Raw genomic sequence first — 14,829 nt, 5'->3', positions numbered from 1 at the left:
TAGGCTGCTTGCTACTTATGCAAATTTCTGCAGCTGGCTTGAACTTCTCCCCAGAAAATGAGTTTTTCTTTTCCACTGCATTGTCAGGCTGCAAATTTCTTTAACTTTTATGTTCCATTTCCCATTTAAAACGGAATGCTTTTAACAGCACCCAAGTCACCTTTTGAATGCTTTGCTGCTTAGAAATTTCTTCTGCCAGATACCCTAAAAATCATCTCTCTCAAGTTCTAAGTTCCACAAATCTCTAGGGTGGGGCAAAATGCTGCCAGTCTCTTGCTAAAACATAACAGGAGTCACCTTTGCTCCAGTTCCCAACAAGTTCCTTATCTCCATCTGAGACCACCTCAGCCTGGACTTTATTTTTCATATCACTATCAGCATTTTTGTCAGAGTCATTCCACAAGTCTCTAGGAGGTTCCAAACTTTCCCACATTTTCCTGTCTTCTTCTGAGCCCTCCAAACTGTTCCAACCTCTGCCTGTTATCAAGTTCCAAAGTCACTTTCACATTTTTGGGTATCTTTTCAGCAACACCCCACTCTACTGGTACCAATTTACTGTTTTAGTTCATTTTCAAGCTGCTGATAAAGATATAACTGAAACTGGGGACAAAAAGATATTTAATTGGACTTACAGTTCCACATGGCTGGGGAGGCCTCAGAATCATGGCGAGAGGTGAAAGGCACATCTTACGTGGCAGTGGCAAGAGAAAAATGAGCAAGATGCAAAAGCGGAAACACCTGATAAGCCATCAGATCTCATGAGATCTTATTCACTATCACAAGAATAGCACGGGAAAGACCAGCCCCCATGATTCAATTACCTCCCCCCAGGTCCCTCCCACAACACAGGAATTCTGGGAGATACAATTCAAGTTGAGATTTGAATGGGGACACAACCAAACCATATCAGGTGATATTTAAGCATCATCCAGTAAGGTTCTGAAGGCAGTCATATGTAATCACGGTACTGTACATTTTGATAGGGCTTTATTCTCTGTCATGTGCTTCCCCATCCATTATTGCCTTATTTTTTTAATAGTGCTCAATAAAGATTTATTAATCGAAGGGATGAAAGAATGACCTTATTTTCCCATAGCAGCATGATGCATTACTGCCTTTAAATCCATTCAATAGTTTTTTTTATGTAGGCATTATTAACTGTAGCATTTACATGTATATCTGTATACGTACATTATTATTGAAGCAACTGAGATATAGAGATGTAAGAGTAGGCCCAGCACCCAGGTCTTCTAACTGCAGGCAGAGTCAGTATGTTTCCTAACATAGCCCAATACTGTCTACAGATGATACCCCTAAATGCTTCACATAATGAGGAAAGGGGGATAATGAGATTCTTGAATGCATTTACTAATCTAATTTTCTTCCCTTCAGAATTACTACTTGGATGAATTTGCAAATCTGTTAGACGAACTTCTGATGAAGATTAATGGTTTGTCCGACAGCCTACAACTCCCCCTTCTGGAAAAAACATCCAACAACACAGGGGAGGCAAGGACAGAAGAGAGTCCCTTAGTGGACATTTCTAGTTACCAAGCTGCTGAGGTAAGACCATGCAAAATTATTTATGTCAATTTTCTTCATAGCAATTTAAGTTCTAAAGGAGTTTTGGAATAGTTGTTTTTCCAAATTATAAGGTCCATTTGCATAAATATTCTTTAGATATCATACTGCTGATAAGATATGCTCTGGCCAGAACTAAAGAACCACTTAAAAATTTAAAGTCCATGATGTGACTTCCAGTTGAAAATGGTAGCATAAGTATCTGTCTGCCCCTTATTTCTGATTACAACTGAAATCAACAAGGAGACTGAGAAACAGAAATGGAAACTCGATCTTCCCAGAAACAAAAAAAAACCCAGAAATCTATGGCCCAGAATGTGACCAGTAATCTCAAGAATGGATGCCAAGAACAGTAAAACTTAGACCAAAAGGAGAAAGGATGCTACCATTTCCAAGAGCACACAGAATTCTCCAAGTTAGACAGTGTATCTGGAGGAGCCAACAAAGGCCCCTGGTTTGGACGAATAGATTATAGAGCACTAAAGAGTTTAAGGAATCTCCCTGAGACCTAATGCCACAGAGTTCCTGGGACATAGGACTGAAGGACAAAACGTGCAGGAAGCCGTCTTTGTAGGAAGCTGTTTGTTGATGTGGCTGCCTAGGGGAGGAACTATTGGTGGTTCACAGACCTAGAGTCACACTACTTGCAAACTATAGAAAAATCAACACCAATAGACACACCATGTGCCAGGTACACAGTGAAAAAGAAGGATGAGTGCCATGCCCCAAAGATAAATAGCTTCCAGTGGTAACTTCCCTGAGATCCAGAGAGATACTCTGCTGGCCCAGAGCTGTCATGTTCACATGACTGAGTGGCAATGAAGGAGCTCTCTGAAGGCAGAGGAGAACATGAAGTACCTGCTATAAGCTCTCTGCCCCAGCCCTTCCCGGGCCCTAATTCACAACAACCCAGGGAAGAACACCGTTTATGAAAAGTTGAACTTCCACATGTAGAGAGGAGTAGAAATAATAAAAGCAAATAATTATTGCATCTATGCAAATCTGCTTCAGGAAAAAGCAGTATGTAAAAATGACCAAAAGTGAAGATGAAGGGTATAACTTTGAAAACAATTGCCATCAACAGGTAAAAATTGTAACCGAGATGTTCTCCACACAAAGGTTAAGTTAATGAAAAAAAAAAAAAAATGTCTCTTTGAAATGACAGTTTGAAGCCAAGATGAAAGAACTCCAAGATGAAATAAAAAGACAGTGAATTAACAGAGTTGAGGAAAGAAATGGAAAAGAAAAAAATAAAGCAAATAGATTCACAGAAAAGAGAATAAACTATATGGATGACATATTTGGGAAAATTCTGCAAGAGAAAAAAAGTTAAAATTGATTTTAGGAAAAGTAATACACATGGAAATCAGACCAGGAAGAATGTGCGTAAGACACGGAAAGGGTATCTATAATTAGTGTCTCCCCTAAAAAAGCCCAGAAAATTTGAACAGAAAAAAATATTTTAAAATATAATTTTAAAAGACTTTACTGGAAAAGAGATATACACCTATATATTTAAAAAAGAACTGTGTCCCAGGGAAGAAATGGATTCACATCTATTAAAACTAGAACATGGGTGGGTGTAGTGGCTCATGCCTATAATCCCAGCATCTGGGAGGCCAAGGCAGGAGGATCACTTGAGCCCAGGAGTTCAAGACCAGCCTGAGCAATATAGTGAAGCCCTATCTCTCCAAAGAAAAAAACAAAACCTGTGGTCCCAGTTACTCAGGAGGCTGAGACGGAAAGATTACTGGGGTCCAGGAGGTAGAAGCTGCAGTGAGGGGTGATCCAGCCTAGGTGACAGAGTGAGACCACGTCTCAAAAAAAAAAACAGAAAACAGAAAAAATAAAAATAAAAAATAAAACACACACTAATAAAGTCGCTGGACTTAAAAAAAGATAATCCTACTGACACCTAGATACCTCCTACCCCTGAAAATCAAGTCATCTCCAAGTGAGTTAAAATTATTTAAGTTATGGCCCGGTGCGGTGACTCACGCCTGTAATCCCAGCACTTTGGGAGGCCGAGGTGGGCGGATCACGAGGTCAGGAGATCAAGACCATCCTGGCTAACACAGTGAAACCCTGTCTCTACTAAAAATACAAAAAAATTAGCCGAGTATGGTGGCGGGCGCCTGTAGTCCCAGCTACTCGGGAGGCTGAGGCAGGAGAATAGCGTGAACCCAGGAGGTAGAGCTTGCAGTGAGCCGAGATTGTGCCACTGCACCTCCAGCCTGGGTGACAGAATGAGACTCCATCTCAAAAAAAAAAAAATTATTTATTTAGCAATTATTATTATTGTTTTAATCATAAAAAACTGTTTAAATGTGCATATGAAAATTGGGCAAATGATAGGAAAAACATAATTTTTAAGAAAAGAAAATATAATGACCAATTTTGTAAAAAATAAAATAAAATTGGGTCAGGCGCAGTGGCTCACGCCCGTAATCATAGCACTTCGGGAGGCCTAGGTGGGCGGATCACAAGGTCAGGAGATCGAGACCATCCTGGCTAACACAGTGAAACTCCGTCTCTACTAAAAATACAAAAAAATTAGCTGGGCGTCATGGCACGCGGCTGTAGTCCCAGCTACTCGGGAGGCTGAGGCAAGAGAATTGCTTGAACCTGGGAGGCAGAGGTTGCGGTGAGCCGAGATCACACCACTGCACTCCAGCCTGGGCAACAGAGTGAGACTCTGCCTCAAAAATAAATAATAAATAAAATAAAATAGAGGATTTATACAGAGGAGAAAAAATGGATAGTATTTACTATATTTGTAACATAAAAATGAAAGAATTTAATTGAAAATTTTAGAAGAAAGATAATTGTATGTATTTATATTTAAACCATAAGGTATATATTGTTATTTTTGAATGATGGGATTAAAACAAAGGACAATATATACTGCTAATTAGTGCTTAGCAGAAAGCACTGACAGACGAAATCCCATGGTATATAAAGTGGAGCAACAACAAATAAAAGTAAACTAAGTGTGTGTTCAGCTCAAATAGGAAAAATTCACAACACACACAAATATACACACAGACACACACACTAAGCAAAACAGAAGGAAAGAAGTTGAAAGAATGAAAGTATAATTTAATGAAATCAACAGCAAAATGAAGTAATCCAAGAGATGAATCTTTTTACGAACAATTAAATTGACAAATTATTGGCTAATGTATCTAAATATGATGAACAAAGTGAGTACAATTCATATACAAAATAAAAATGAGAAACAGAAAATAACCTTTAGGAAATTAAATAAATTATAAAATTTTGGAAGGAGAGAACAGTTATCATTGTTTATTATGCAACAAACTGACTTGAGTAGAGACAGAAATCTGAAACAGTATTTGAAGTTCTATCCCTCCAAAAGCACCAGTCCCAGATGGTTTCACAGAGAAAATACACCAAACTATTAAGAAGCATGTAAGTCCAGAACGACCTTCAAACTGTGCCACAGCAGAGACAGAAGAAAAGCTTCCGAATGTGTTTTTATGAAACAAGCAATTTATTGATCTAAAAACTGGACAAAAATATTCCAAATTAAAAATAAAACTACATGTCAGTCTTATTGATTTTTGATACCAAAAATCTAAATAAAACATTAACAAATAGAATCCAGCAGCAGATTAAGAAAATTATATCCCATGATCATATGAGTATTAAATCAGGATACAAATGTTTTAATATTAAAAATTTATTAATAGGCCAAGCACGGTGGCTTACACCTGAAATCCCAGCACTTCGGGAGGCCAAGGTGGGCGGATCATGAGGTCAGGAGATCGAGACCATCCTGGCTCACACGGTGAAAACCCATCTCTACTAAAAATACAAAACAAATTAGCCGGGTGTGGTGGCGGGCACCTGTATTCCCAGCTACTTGGAAGGCTGAGGCAGGAGAATGGCTTGAACCTGGGAGGCGGAGATTGCTGTGAGCCGAGATTGCACCACTGCACTCCAGCCTAGGCAACAGAAAGAAACTCCATCTCAAAAAAAAAATTAAAATTAAAATTAAAAAAAAAAAATATATATATATATATAACTGGGCTGGGTGTGGTGGCTCACACCTGTAATCCCAGCACTTTGGGAGGCCAAGGCAGGTGGATCACTTGAGGCCAGGAGTTTGAGACCAGCCTGGCCAACAAAAATTAACCCGGCATGGTGCACACCTGTAATCCCCACTACTCAGGAGGCTGAGGCACGAGAATCTCTTGAACCTGGAAGGTGGAGGTTGCAGTGAGCAGAGATCGCACCACTGCATTTCCAGCCTGGGCAATAGAATAAATAAAATAAAAATATATGAATAAAATAAAAATAAATGAAATAATAAATAAAAAAAGAATATATTAATAACCTTCACCAAACAGGGAGGAAGCTATCATTTTATTTTTTCCATGGCTGCATTTGATAAAATTCAACATTCATTCCTAAGTATTAAAACATATTCTTAATAAAAATGAAATCGATATTTTTAAAAAAAATAGGAATATAGCTCAAGTTAAATGTCAGTATTATATTTAATAATACAACATCAGAGCCTTTACTACTAAGGTTAAGGACAAAAAGATTGTCAGTTCAAAAGTCCTACAACAGGCCGGACACAGTGGCTCCCGCCTACAATACAAGCACTTTAGGAGTCCGAGGCTAGAGGATCACTTGAGCCCAGGAGTTCGCGACCAGTCTGGGCAACATGATGAGATCTTGTCTGTACAAAAAATACAAAATTAGCCAGGTGTGGTGGCACACACCTCTAGTCCCAGCTACTTGGAAGGCTGAGGTGGGAGGATCACTTGAGCTCAGGAGGTCAAGGCTGCAGTGAGCCATGATTATGCCACTGCACTCCAGCCTGGGAAACAGAGTGAAAACCTGTCTCAAAAAGCAAATGAAAACAAAGTCCCACCACAGCATTTTAAAGGCGTATGGCTCATCTCTTTCCTTTAAACCCGCTTAATTTGTTTATATATTTTATAGCTCATATAACTAGCAAGAACTTTAAATTTATAATATGGTTGAGCAGTCCTTTATATACACAACACACACTATTGTGAGTCCTTATACAGTTACAACACATAGTAATCTATACTAATTTCCTATGGCTGAGAAAAGAATTTCCCTCAAATGATGGTGGAGGCTTGTAGGTGCTGTCTTTGCCCTTATGACTTACTTTTCTTGTGTATGAGTGGGACGTTTTCAGCAACAATGCAATCATAACTTTGGTTTCATTCCACAGGAAAACACAACGCTTTCTGGACTATCACTTTATGAGGTATTTATCAAAAGTATGTTTGGCAAAAAGTTAATGCTGCCAAGGGTGGGTCTCTCTCACCTGGCTCCCAGGTGGGTTTCTGCCTGCAGAACTCAAGTTTCTGCAACATGAGTTTAGCTGGCCTCCCTGGGAAAGAACCAGGAATGTCATTGGTCTTGGAATAGGCCAAGCAAGCTGGACTTTACAGAACAGACCCTTTTTTGTGTGAGGGGATCTGAGGAAACAATTCGTTTGAATTTCCTAACTTCAAGGCATTTATTTGTTTCTTCATCTTAACCATTAATAATTAAGATTTGTATCTTTATAAACTAGAAGGATTGGATGCCTGGAGCTATCAATAACCACCTACAAATCATATTGTTCTTTGTATTTTTAAAGTGACTCATGGCAACAAAATGCGGTGAGTTGCCAGCCCCCACCTTCTCCCCCTTGCCAGCTCGGCCCCCTTAACGGTTCTTGGCACTCTGTGGCCTCTCAGCTATGTAGCCTTGGACCCCGAAGAGACCTCCCAGCCGGGGGCTGCTGCTGATTGGGCAGAAGGACCTCCGAGCTCTTGCCCTGCTCCTTGCTCGGGCCTCTTCTCTACTGCGATGACTCACCACTTTGCAGGAGCTGGCTAGGCCACTAGTCAGTGGATGCAATTTAGAGATGTCAGAAGGGTTTTTCCTCCACATATTTTCCTCTTGATTTGCTTTTGTGAATACCATTGCGTAAGGCAGGAACATCCAGAGGGGAGCGCCTGACCTCAGGGCACAGAGTCTCTCCTAGAGGATTTTTGCCTTTATTTTTTTCAGTGTAATTCCTTAGCACCTACCTGCCAGGAGGAAGGTGAGATGGTTTTTATAACTGTGGAAAATCTGCATTCCCTTTCACATTTGGGGTCCCCAACACAATCTGTGAAGACTGGCGTGCCACAGTCCACAGCCACTCTTTTCAGCAAGGTTTGTGCTCTGAACTCTGCTGGTCAGTGTTACTTAGGAGCAGGAAGCCATCAAGAGGGTGAATTTTCTCTCAGCTTCTTCCTTTAACTTGCCAGTTTGTAAAATAATGAGAAGATTTAGAATACTTAGCTTTTCCCAATGCGTTTACGTAGCCCCCGTCACAGGTGACTGTCAAAGAAATTTACTGAGTTCCCTCAAATCTAGAAGTTTTTGTAGTTATAGTTAGGTTCTGTAAACTTACTGAATCTTCATTGACTTTGGTATTTTCTAACAGATGATGCAATGTATCTGAACACTAAGTTTGAATCCTTGAGGAAGAAACAGGCTAGAAGGGGCTTTTTAAAATGAAATATTGGCCAGGCATGGTGCCTCACACCTGTAATTCCAGAACTTTGGGAGGCCGAGGCAGGTGGATCACTTGAGGTAAGGAGTTCGAGACCAGCTTGGTCAACGTAGTGAAACCCCGTGCCTCCTAAAAATACAAAAATTAGCCGGCTGTGGTGATGGGCGCCTATAATCCCAGCTACTCAGGAGGCTGAGGCAGGAGAATTGCTTGAACCCGGGAGGCAGAGGTTGCAGTGAGCCGAGATTGCACCACTGCACTCCAGCCTGGGCGACAGAGTGAGACTCTGTCTCAAAAAAAAAAAAAAAGAAAGAAATATCAACTCGGCCTGAACATGCAGAAAGTATGATGCCCTAGAGATGCCCCAACTCCTGCTGATAAACATGGAGGTCAGGCAGGTCTGAGGGTTGAGCAACTGTGGAGTGATTCAGTTTTAACTACTGGCTGGGTGACTGTAGGAAAGCGACTTAACTTCTTGGTGTCTTTACATCCTACTCTGTAAAAGGAGGACAGTAGTAGAGCCTCTCCCATGAGACCACTGAGAGAGGTAAAGGAGTTAAAGGAGTTCGTGTCTGCATGCTGTAAGTGCTGTCTATAGCTTTAATAGAGACTATTAACACTTTCACGTTTCATGCATTCCTCAAGTATTTTTGTGCCAGGCACAATTCTAGAGGCTGGGGATCCAAAGATGAACAACATTGACTTGAAAGTGAACTATGTCCACTCAGAAAACATTATATTCCTGGAACTTGGAAAGTACAAATCTCAAAATTATGGACAAAAACCTGAGCAACTTTTGTATCCACTTGGACCTATGTTATGATGTGTTTCTTCATGTGAAGCCGAGAGGGGTCGGTAAGGATGCAAACATCAAGTTCAAATGAGGTATGCTCAGGAAGAATGCACCCCATAGTTCCCAGACTTCATTCAGCATGTTAAGGACCAGTATATTCCTAGACTTAACTAAAAATGATCATTCTCACCTGCTCTCACATCCTGGTTCTGCCCTTGCTAGCTGAGTTCTCATGACTTTCTCTCCACCACTGTGGCTTCCACAGAGACCAGCACTCAGTAAATATTTAGTGAACTGGTTATTGAGCAAAAAGAAGTGGTGGGTGATGTATATGGATAGAAAAGGGCAACTAATAAAGCAAGCATGGGAAAATGCTAATAGGTGGCTCTGGAAAGGGTAGCTGAGTACTTCTGAATTACTCTTGTAACTTTCTTATTAAGTTTAAAATTATTTCCAAGTGAAACGCTTTTAAAAAGAAGCTATTGTGGGTTGGGCGCAGTGGCTCATGTCTGTAATCCCAGCACTTTGGGAGGCTGAGATGGGCGGATCACCTGAGGTAAGGAGTTCGAGACCAGCCTGGCCAACATGGTGAAACCCCGTTTCTACTAAAAATACAAAAAATTAGCGGGCATAATGGTGGGCGCCTGTAATCCCAGCTACTTGGGAGGCTGAGGCAGGAGAATTGCTTGAGCCTGGGAGATGGAGGTTGCAGTGAGCCGAGATAGCACCATTGCACTCTAGCTTGGGCAACAAGAGTGAAACTCCGTCTCAAAAAAAAAAGAAGCTATTGTATTACTCAAGTAAAGAGATGACAAAATGATAGGGTCATAGTTGTGAGATATGATTTGTTTTAATGGTTCTTATTTTTTCTAAGCTTTTCTATGTTTCTAAGTATGTCTTGGAATTTTTCCCATGATGGACATCACAAGAAAAGCTAATTAAATTTAAAAGAACTAGATATGGCTTACAAATACTTAATATATTGGAAGTGGGAATAACTTAAAACCTAAAGAGAAATGTTGAAGCAGACAGCCTTCTGAAATGAATTCTCTCTGCTTTCATGGATTATACTAAGTCTTCCCGGGATGACTTCACAAGCAGGAATGTTTTTGTGGCTGCTGATTCATTCCTTCCTGGCAGACATAGCTCCAATGAAGTTGAAATATTATTGTTAATCCCTTTTATTTAGATGTGTGCTAGAATGGCACTCGAGGCACTAAGGATATAAACCAGGGCTTCTGTATGACTGTGAACACATAATTTATTTACTTGGGCCAAATTGTCTCCTAGCAGGGTTCAAGAAAGTTGAATTCTCAAGGACTAAAATACACTGTCGGCTGGCTTCTTTTTGAGGTTTCTATTTCAATTGGAGTCTTGCAAACTACAATTATTTCCCAAAAGAATATGTAAAATACTGCATTAGTTTGCTAGGGCTGCCATGACAAAGTGCCACAAACAGAAATTTATTCTCTTGTAGTCTGGAGGCCAGAAGTCCAAGGTCAGGGTGTCAGCAGGGCCACGCTCCCTCTGAAGGCCCTGGTGAAGGATCTGTTCCAGGCATCTCTCCAGCTTCCCTTAGCTCCTTGGCTTGTGGCAGTGTAGTTCTCTTTTTTACAGGGCATTCTCCCTGGGTGTCCAAATTTTCTCTTTTTATAACACAATCATATTGGATTAGGACCGACCCTAATTACCTTATCTTAGCTTGATCATCAGCAAAATAAGGTCACATCCACCAGTGCCTTTTTTGTTCTGGAGGAAGAACAATTCAACCCAAAACAAATACATTTAAGCAAATGTAAATATTTGAAGAAAGTATTATAGTTTTCCATTAATTCTAGCTTTTTGAAAAATTTAGTTTCACTAATCTGACAAAACTAAAACAAAATACTCAAAAAATTAGCAAACTCTTCTTTTTTACTCTGTGTAGATCTTAATTTATAAATGCTTTTATAAGAATGATGTTTGTATGTTAGTACATGTTGATTATCATTAAAATTATAAAACAAGTAGATTATCTGAGTATTTGACTGTGGAAAAGATCAAGTAATAACAAAAGATGATTTTTTTTGCTATTTTAAATAATACTTTTAAATAGAAATGCCATTGAGTCTTCCCTAAAATACCATATAGCTATCAATGTATACTCCCAATGGCTTTCTAAGTTACAGAACGCAGGAATGTAGGAGAGCCTCTGAGGTCAGGAGCTCCTGTTGCCTCCTCCTCAGGTAAGTGACTCATTCTCAAGGGATAAAATCACGTAAGAATCCCCAAAGACATACCTCATCCATGTCACCAGCACAACACCTTTAGTAAAGATCGAATCCATTTCCCCAGCGGTTTGGGAGTGAGTGTCTATCTTTGGTAAAATCTAGTACAGCAGTTCCCACTGGTTTTGCACTCTTAACTATGTCTTGAATAATTTATTACTCAACATATAGTTGAAAGGCTTGACAATTAATTGATTTTAAGTAGGACCAAGGAGAAGAAAAATTAGAGCAGATTCAAGGGTTTCCCTATTCAAAGCCATGTTCACTCAACCACTATCCCAGTAGACTTTTCTTGAGGGGAAGACAGAGGGTCCAAGTTACAGCTAGCACACATGGGTGTACCAATGTCATCATTCACTACACCAGTGTGGAGATTTATTCTATCTGATCTTCAGAATTCAAGTAAATATAGAATGAGGTTATACAAATCTCTGGGACTGTAGGGAGGAACTCTTTTCTCATGGTGACCTTCTTCCTGGCTTCTCTTGCTAGTTTATAATCAATTTAAGTATTACTGAAATACTAGCCCTTGTCCTTGAAAAAGTAGAGACCTTAGGAAAGTTTTCTGCTGCAGTTGTCCTGAGTTGAATAATTTTCCAGAGATTTGTGCTTGCCAGGGCCTCCTTGCAGTCTCTACTTTCATAAGTTACTGTGGTTTTTTTTTGACCAACATCCTTGTCCTGTTGCCAGGCAGGAGTAAGGAAATGTAATTATTAAAGTTTAGAAATATGCACTGACCTTTGAAGGACCTACAACACCCTGCACCCTGCAGAAGTTGAGCATCTTTTTTCAAAATCTGCAGGTGACATTATTTATAACTCTCATAGACAGCTGGTTTATTGGATGGTGGGTCAGAGTGGAGAGGGGAGGAACTGGATGCCTTGCACAGAAGGTGGTTATACTATACTATGCAGCCACAGCAATCAACACCATGTGGTCCTGACAGAGGGGAAGAGACAAAGATCCTTGGAACAGAATAGATCCCAGGAATAGAGATCCCAGAATGGACTCACACAAATATGCCAAACTCATCTTGACAAAGGTGCTGAAGCAATTCATTGAAGGAAGAATAGCATTTTTGACAATGTTACCGATGCAATTGAACATCCAAAAGCAAAAGAAAACAAAAAGAACTTGTACCTATACCTCATACCATATACAAAAATAATTCAAAATGGATCATGAACAATGTTTTATGCAAAACATGAAACTGTCAAATTTGCAGGAGAAAAAAACAGGAGAAAATCAGAAATTGGAACTTTAAAAATTGAAAATTTTTGTTCTGGCTTGGTGTGGTGGCTCACACCTGTAATCCCAGCACTTTGGGAGGCTGAGGCGGGCGGATCACTACGTCAGGAAATCGAGACCATCCTGGCTAACACAGTGAAACCCCGTCTCTACTAAAAATACAAAAAAATTAGCTGGGCATGGTGGCAGGCTCCTGTAGTCCCAGCTACTTGGGAGGCTGAGGCAGGAGAATGGCATGAACCCAGGAGGCGGAGCTTGCAGTGAGCCAAGATCACGCCACTGCACTCCAGCCTGGGCAACAGAGTGAGACTCTGTCTCAAAAAAAAAAAAAAAAACAAAACAAAACAAAAAAAAAAACCTTTTGTTCTGCAAATGACTTTATTGAGAGGATGGAAGGACAATCCACAGACTGGAGGGAAATATTTGCAGACCGCATGTTCAACAAAGAACTAGTATCTACAATATATAAAGAAGCCTCAGAATTCAACAGTAAAAATGTAAATAATCTAATTAGAAAATGGACCAAAATAATGAACAGACATTTCACTGAAGAAGATGTACAGATGGCAAACACATGAAAAGATGTGACTATCACTAGCCGTTAGGGAACTGGAAATTAAGACCATAATGATATATCACTACATACCTTAGAAAGACTAAAATAAAAAATAGTGACAACACCAAATGCTGGGAAGAATGCAAAGACCACATCACTCATACATTACTGATGGGAATGTAAAATGGTACAGCAACTATGGGAAATAGTTTGGCAGTTTCTTATAAAATGAAACATGAAAACTTATCGCCCAGAAATTATCTGGATCATAGATCCCAAAGAAGTGAAGACTTAGGTTTACATAAAAACCTGCACATGAATGTTCACAGCAGCTTTATTTGTGACACCTCTGAACTGGAAATAGCTTTCACTGAGTGAATGGTTAAACAAACTGTGGTCCCTTCATATCATGGAATGCTACTAAGCAATAAAGACAAAAAGACTATTGATCCACACAGCCACCTGGGTGAATCTCCAGAGAATTATGCTGAGTGAGTGCAAAAAGCCAAACTCAAAAGGTTACATACTATATGATTCTATTTATATAACTTTTTTTTTTTGAGGTGGAGTCTTCTGTCGCCGAGACTGGAGTGCAGTGGTACAATCTCGGCTCACTACAACCTCCACCTCCCGGGTTCACGTGATTCTCATGCTTCAGCCTCCCAAGTAGCTGGGCCTACAGGTGCACACCACCACGCCTGGCTAATTTTTGTATTTTTAGTAGAGACGGGTTTTCACCATGTTGGCCAGGCTGGTCTCAAACTCCTGACCTCAAGTCATCCACCCACCTCAGCCTCCTAAAATGCTGGGATTACAGGCATGAGCCACAGCGCCAGGCCAATATAACATTCTTAAAATGACAAGATTATAGACAAGGGAAGCAGTTCGTGGTTGCCAGGAGTCAGGGATGAAAAGACGGTGAGGAAGGAAGGAAGAAGGCTTAGGTGCATCTATAAAAGGACAGCAGAAGGGATCTTGGTGATGGAATGTTCTTTACGTTAATTGTATCAATGTCAATATCCTGGCTGGGATATTGTTTTGTAATTTTGCAAGATGTGACCATTGAGGAAAACCTGGTAAAAGGTACATAGGAGTGTTCTGTATTATGTCTTACAACTGTGTGTGAATCTACAGTTATCTCAAAGTAAAAAAAAAATAATTAAAAAATAACGAGGTTGTTATAGCATACAAAATTACAATAAGTTGAAAATGGTATTAACTTAAAAACCAGTGCAAATATTAATTATTTTTCCTAGCAAACAAGAGAATAGTCTAGTCACAAATGTGCATAACAAGTGCTCTTTCTGGGCACCTCCTTTCTCCCACCCAGCCCATGGTTTATCCTTTCCCCAAGTGTCTTTTATAGATGAAAGCTCCAAAGCATGAAGGCATCTGAGCTTCTGCAGTATTTGGACATCCCGAATTGCTCAGATTTCTACCTAATGAGATTTTGGCCTCATCTGTGGGCCCCGCACCATATGTTCGCACTTTCTGCTGGACCAAAACCCAAATAGGGGTGGAGGGAAGAGCCTGTGTCATCTTTTAGACTCTGTAAAGGTGGAGCCATTCTCAGACGCTAAAAAAATCTGAGTTATTTGGGACAAGAGTAATATGTTTGTATCAGTAACCAAATATCTCCGTAGAGAATATCAGCAAGAAGTGTGGGTGGAAGAGTAATTAGAGAATCTGACCAAGACACAGAGATACAGGAGCTGAGCCTGAGTTATGGCCTACTCCCACTGGTGGTATCATTGAGTTGGCTGACAACTTGCTCCTCAAAACACACCATGTTTCAGCATAATTTAACCACAAAAGTCTCACGAGCATT

At 40.1% G+C, this 14,829-nt stretch overlaps 1 protein-coding gene across 2 annotated transcripts in view, besides 1 other annotated feature; it reads left to right on the top strand.

Moving 5' to 3' along the window:
• The window catches only part of PKD1L1 (polycystin 1 like 1, transient receptor potential channel interacting), a 186,293-nt gene that overhangs the window by 166,717 nt on the left and 4,747 nt on the right, over positions 1 to 14,829 (top strand). The window contains exons 57-58 of one of the 2 annotated variants that reach the window (XM_017011798.3): positions 1,393 to 1,563; positions 6,818 to 6,853. In XM_017011798.3, coding sequence (XP_016867287.1) covers positions 1,393 to 1,563; positions 6,818 to 6,853 — 207 coding nt within the window. The remainder of the gene's footprint in view (positions 1 to 1,392; positions 1,564 to 6,817; positions 6,854 to 14,829) is intronic. The other variant, NM_138295.5, reaches the window with a different exon arrangement.
• Positions 7,185 to 7,479: a silencer, noted in NCBI's record as "tiled region #14324; K562 Repressive non-DNase unmatched - State 24:Quies". NCBI's record gives its function as "represses a minimal TATA promoter and a strong SV40 promoter by Sharpr-MPRA in K562 cells {active_cell/tissue: K562}" and the evidence as "EXISTENCE:reporter gene assay evidence [ECO:0000049][PMID:27701403]".

The sequence above is a fragment of the Homo sapiens genome, chromosome 7 (assembly GCF_000001405.40).
Source record: "Homo sapiens chromosome 7, GRCh38.p14 Primary Assembly".
Lineage (NCBI taxonomy): Eukaryota > Metazoa > Chordata > Mammalia > Primates > Hominidae > Homo > Homo sapiens.
The sequence above is the reverse complement of the archived record's forward strand: the minus strand, read 5'-3'. Positions and strand labels throughout refer to the sequence as shown.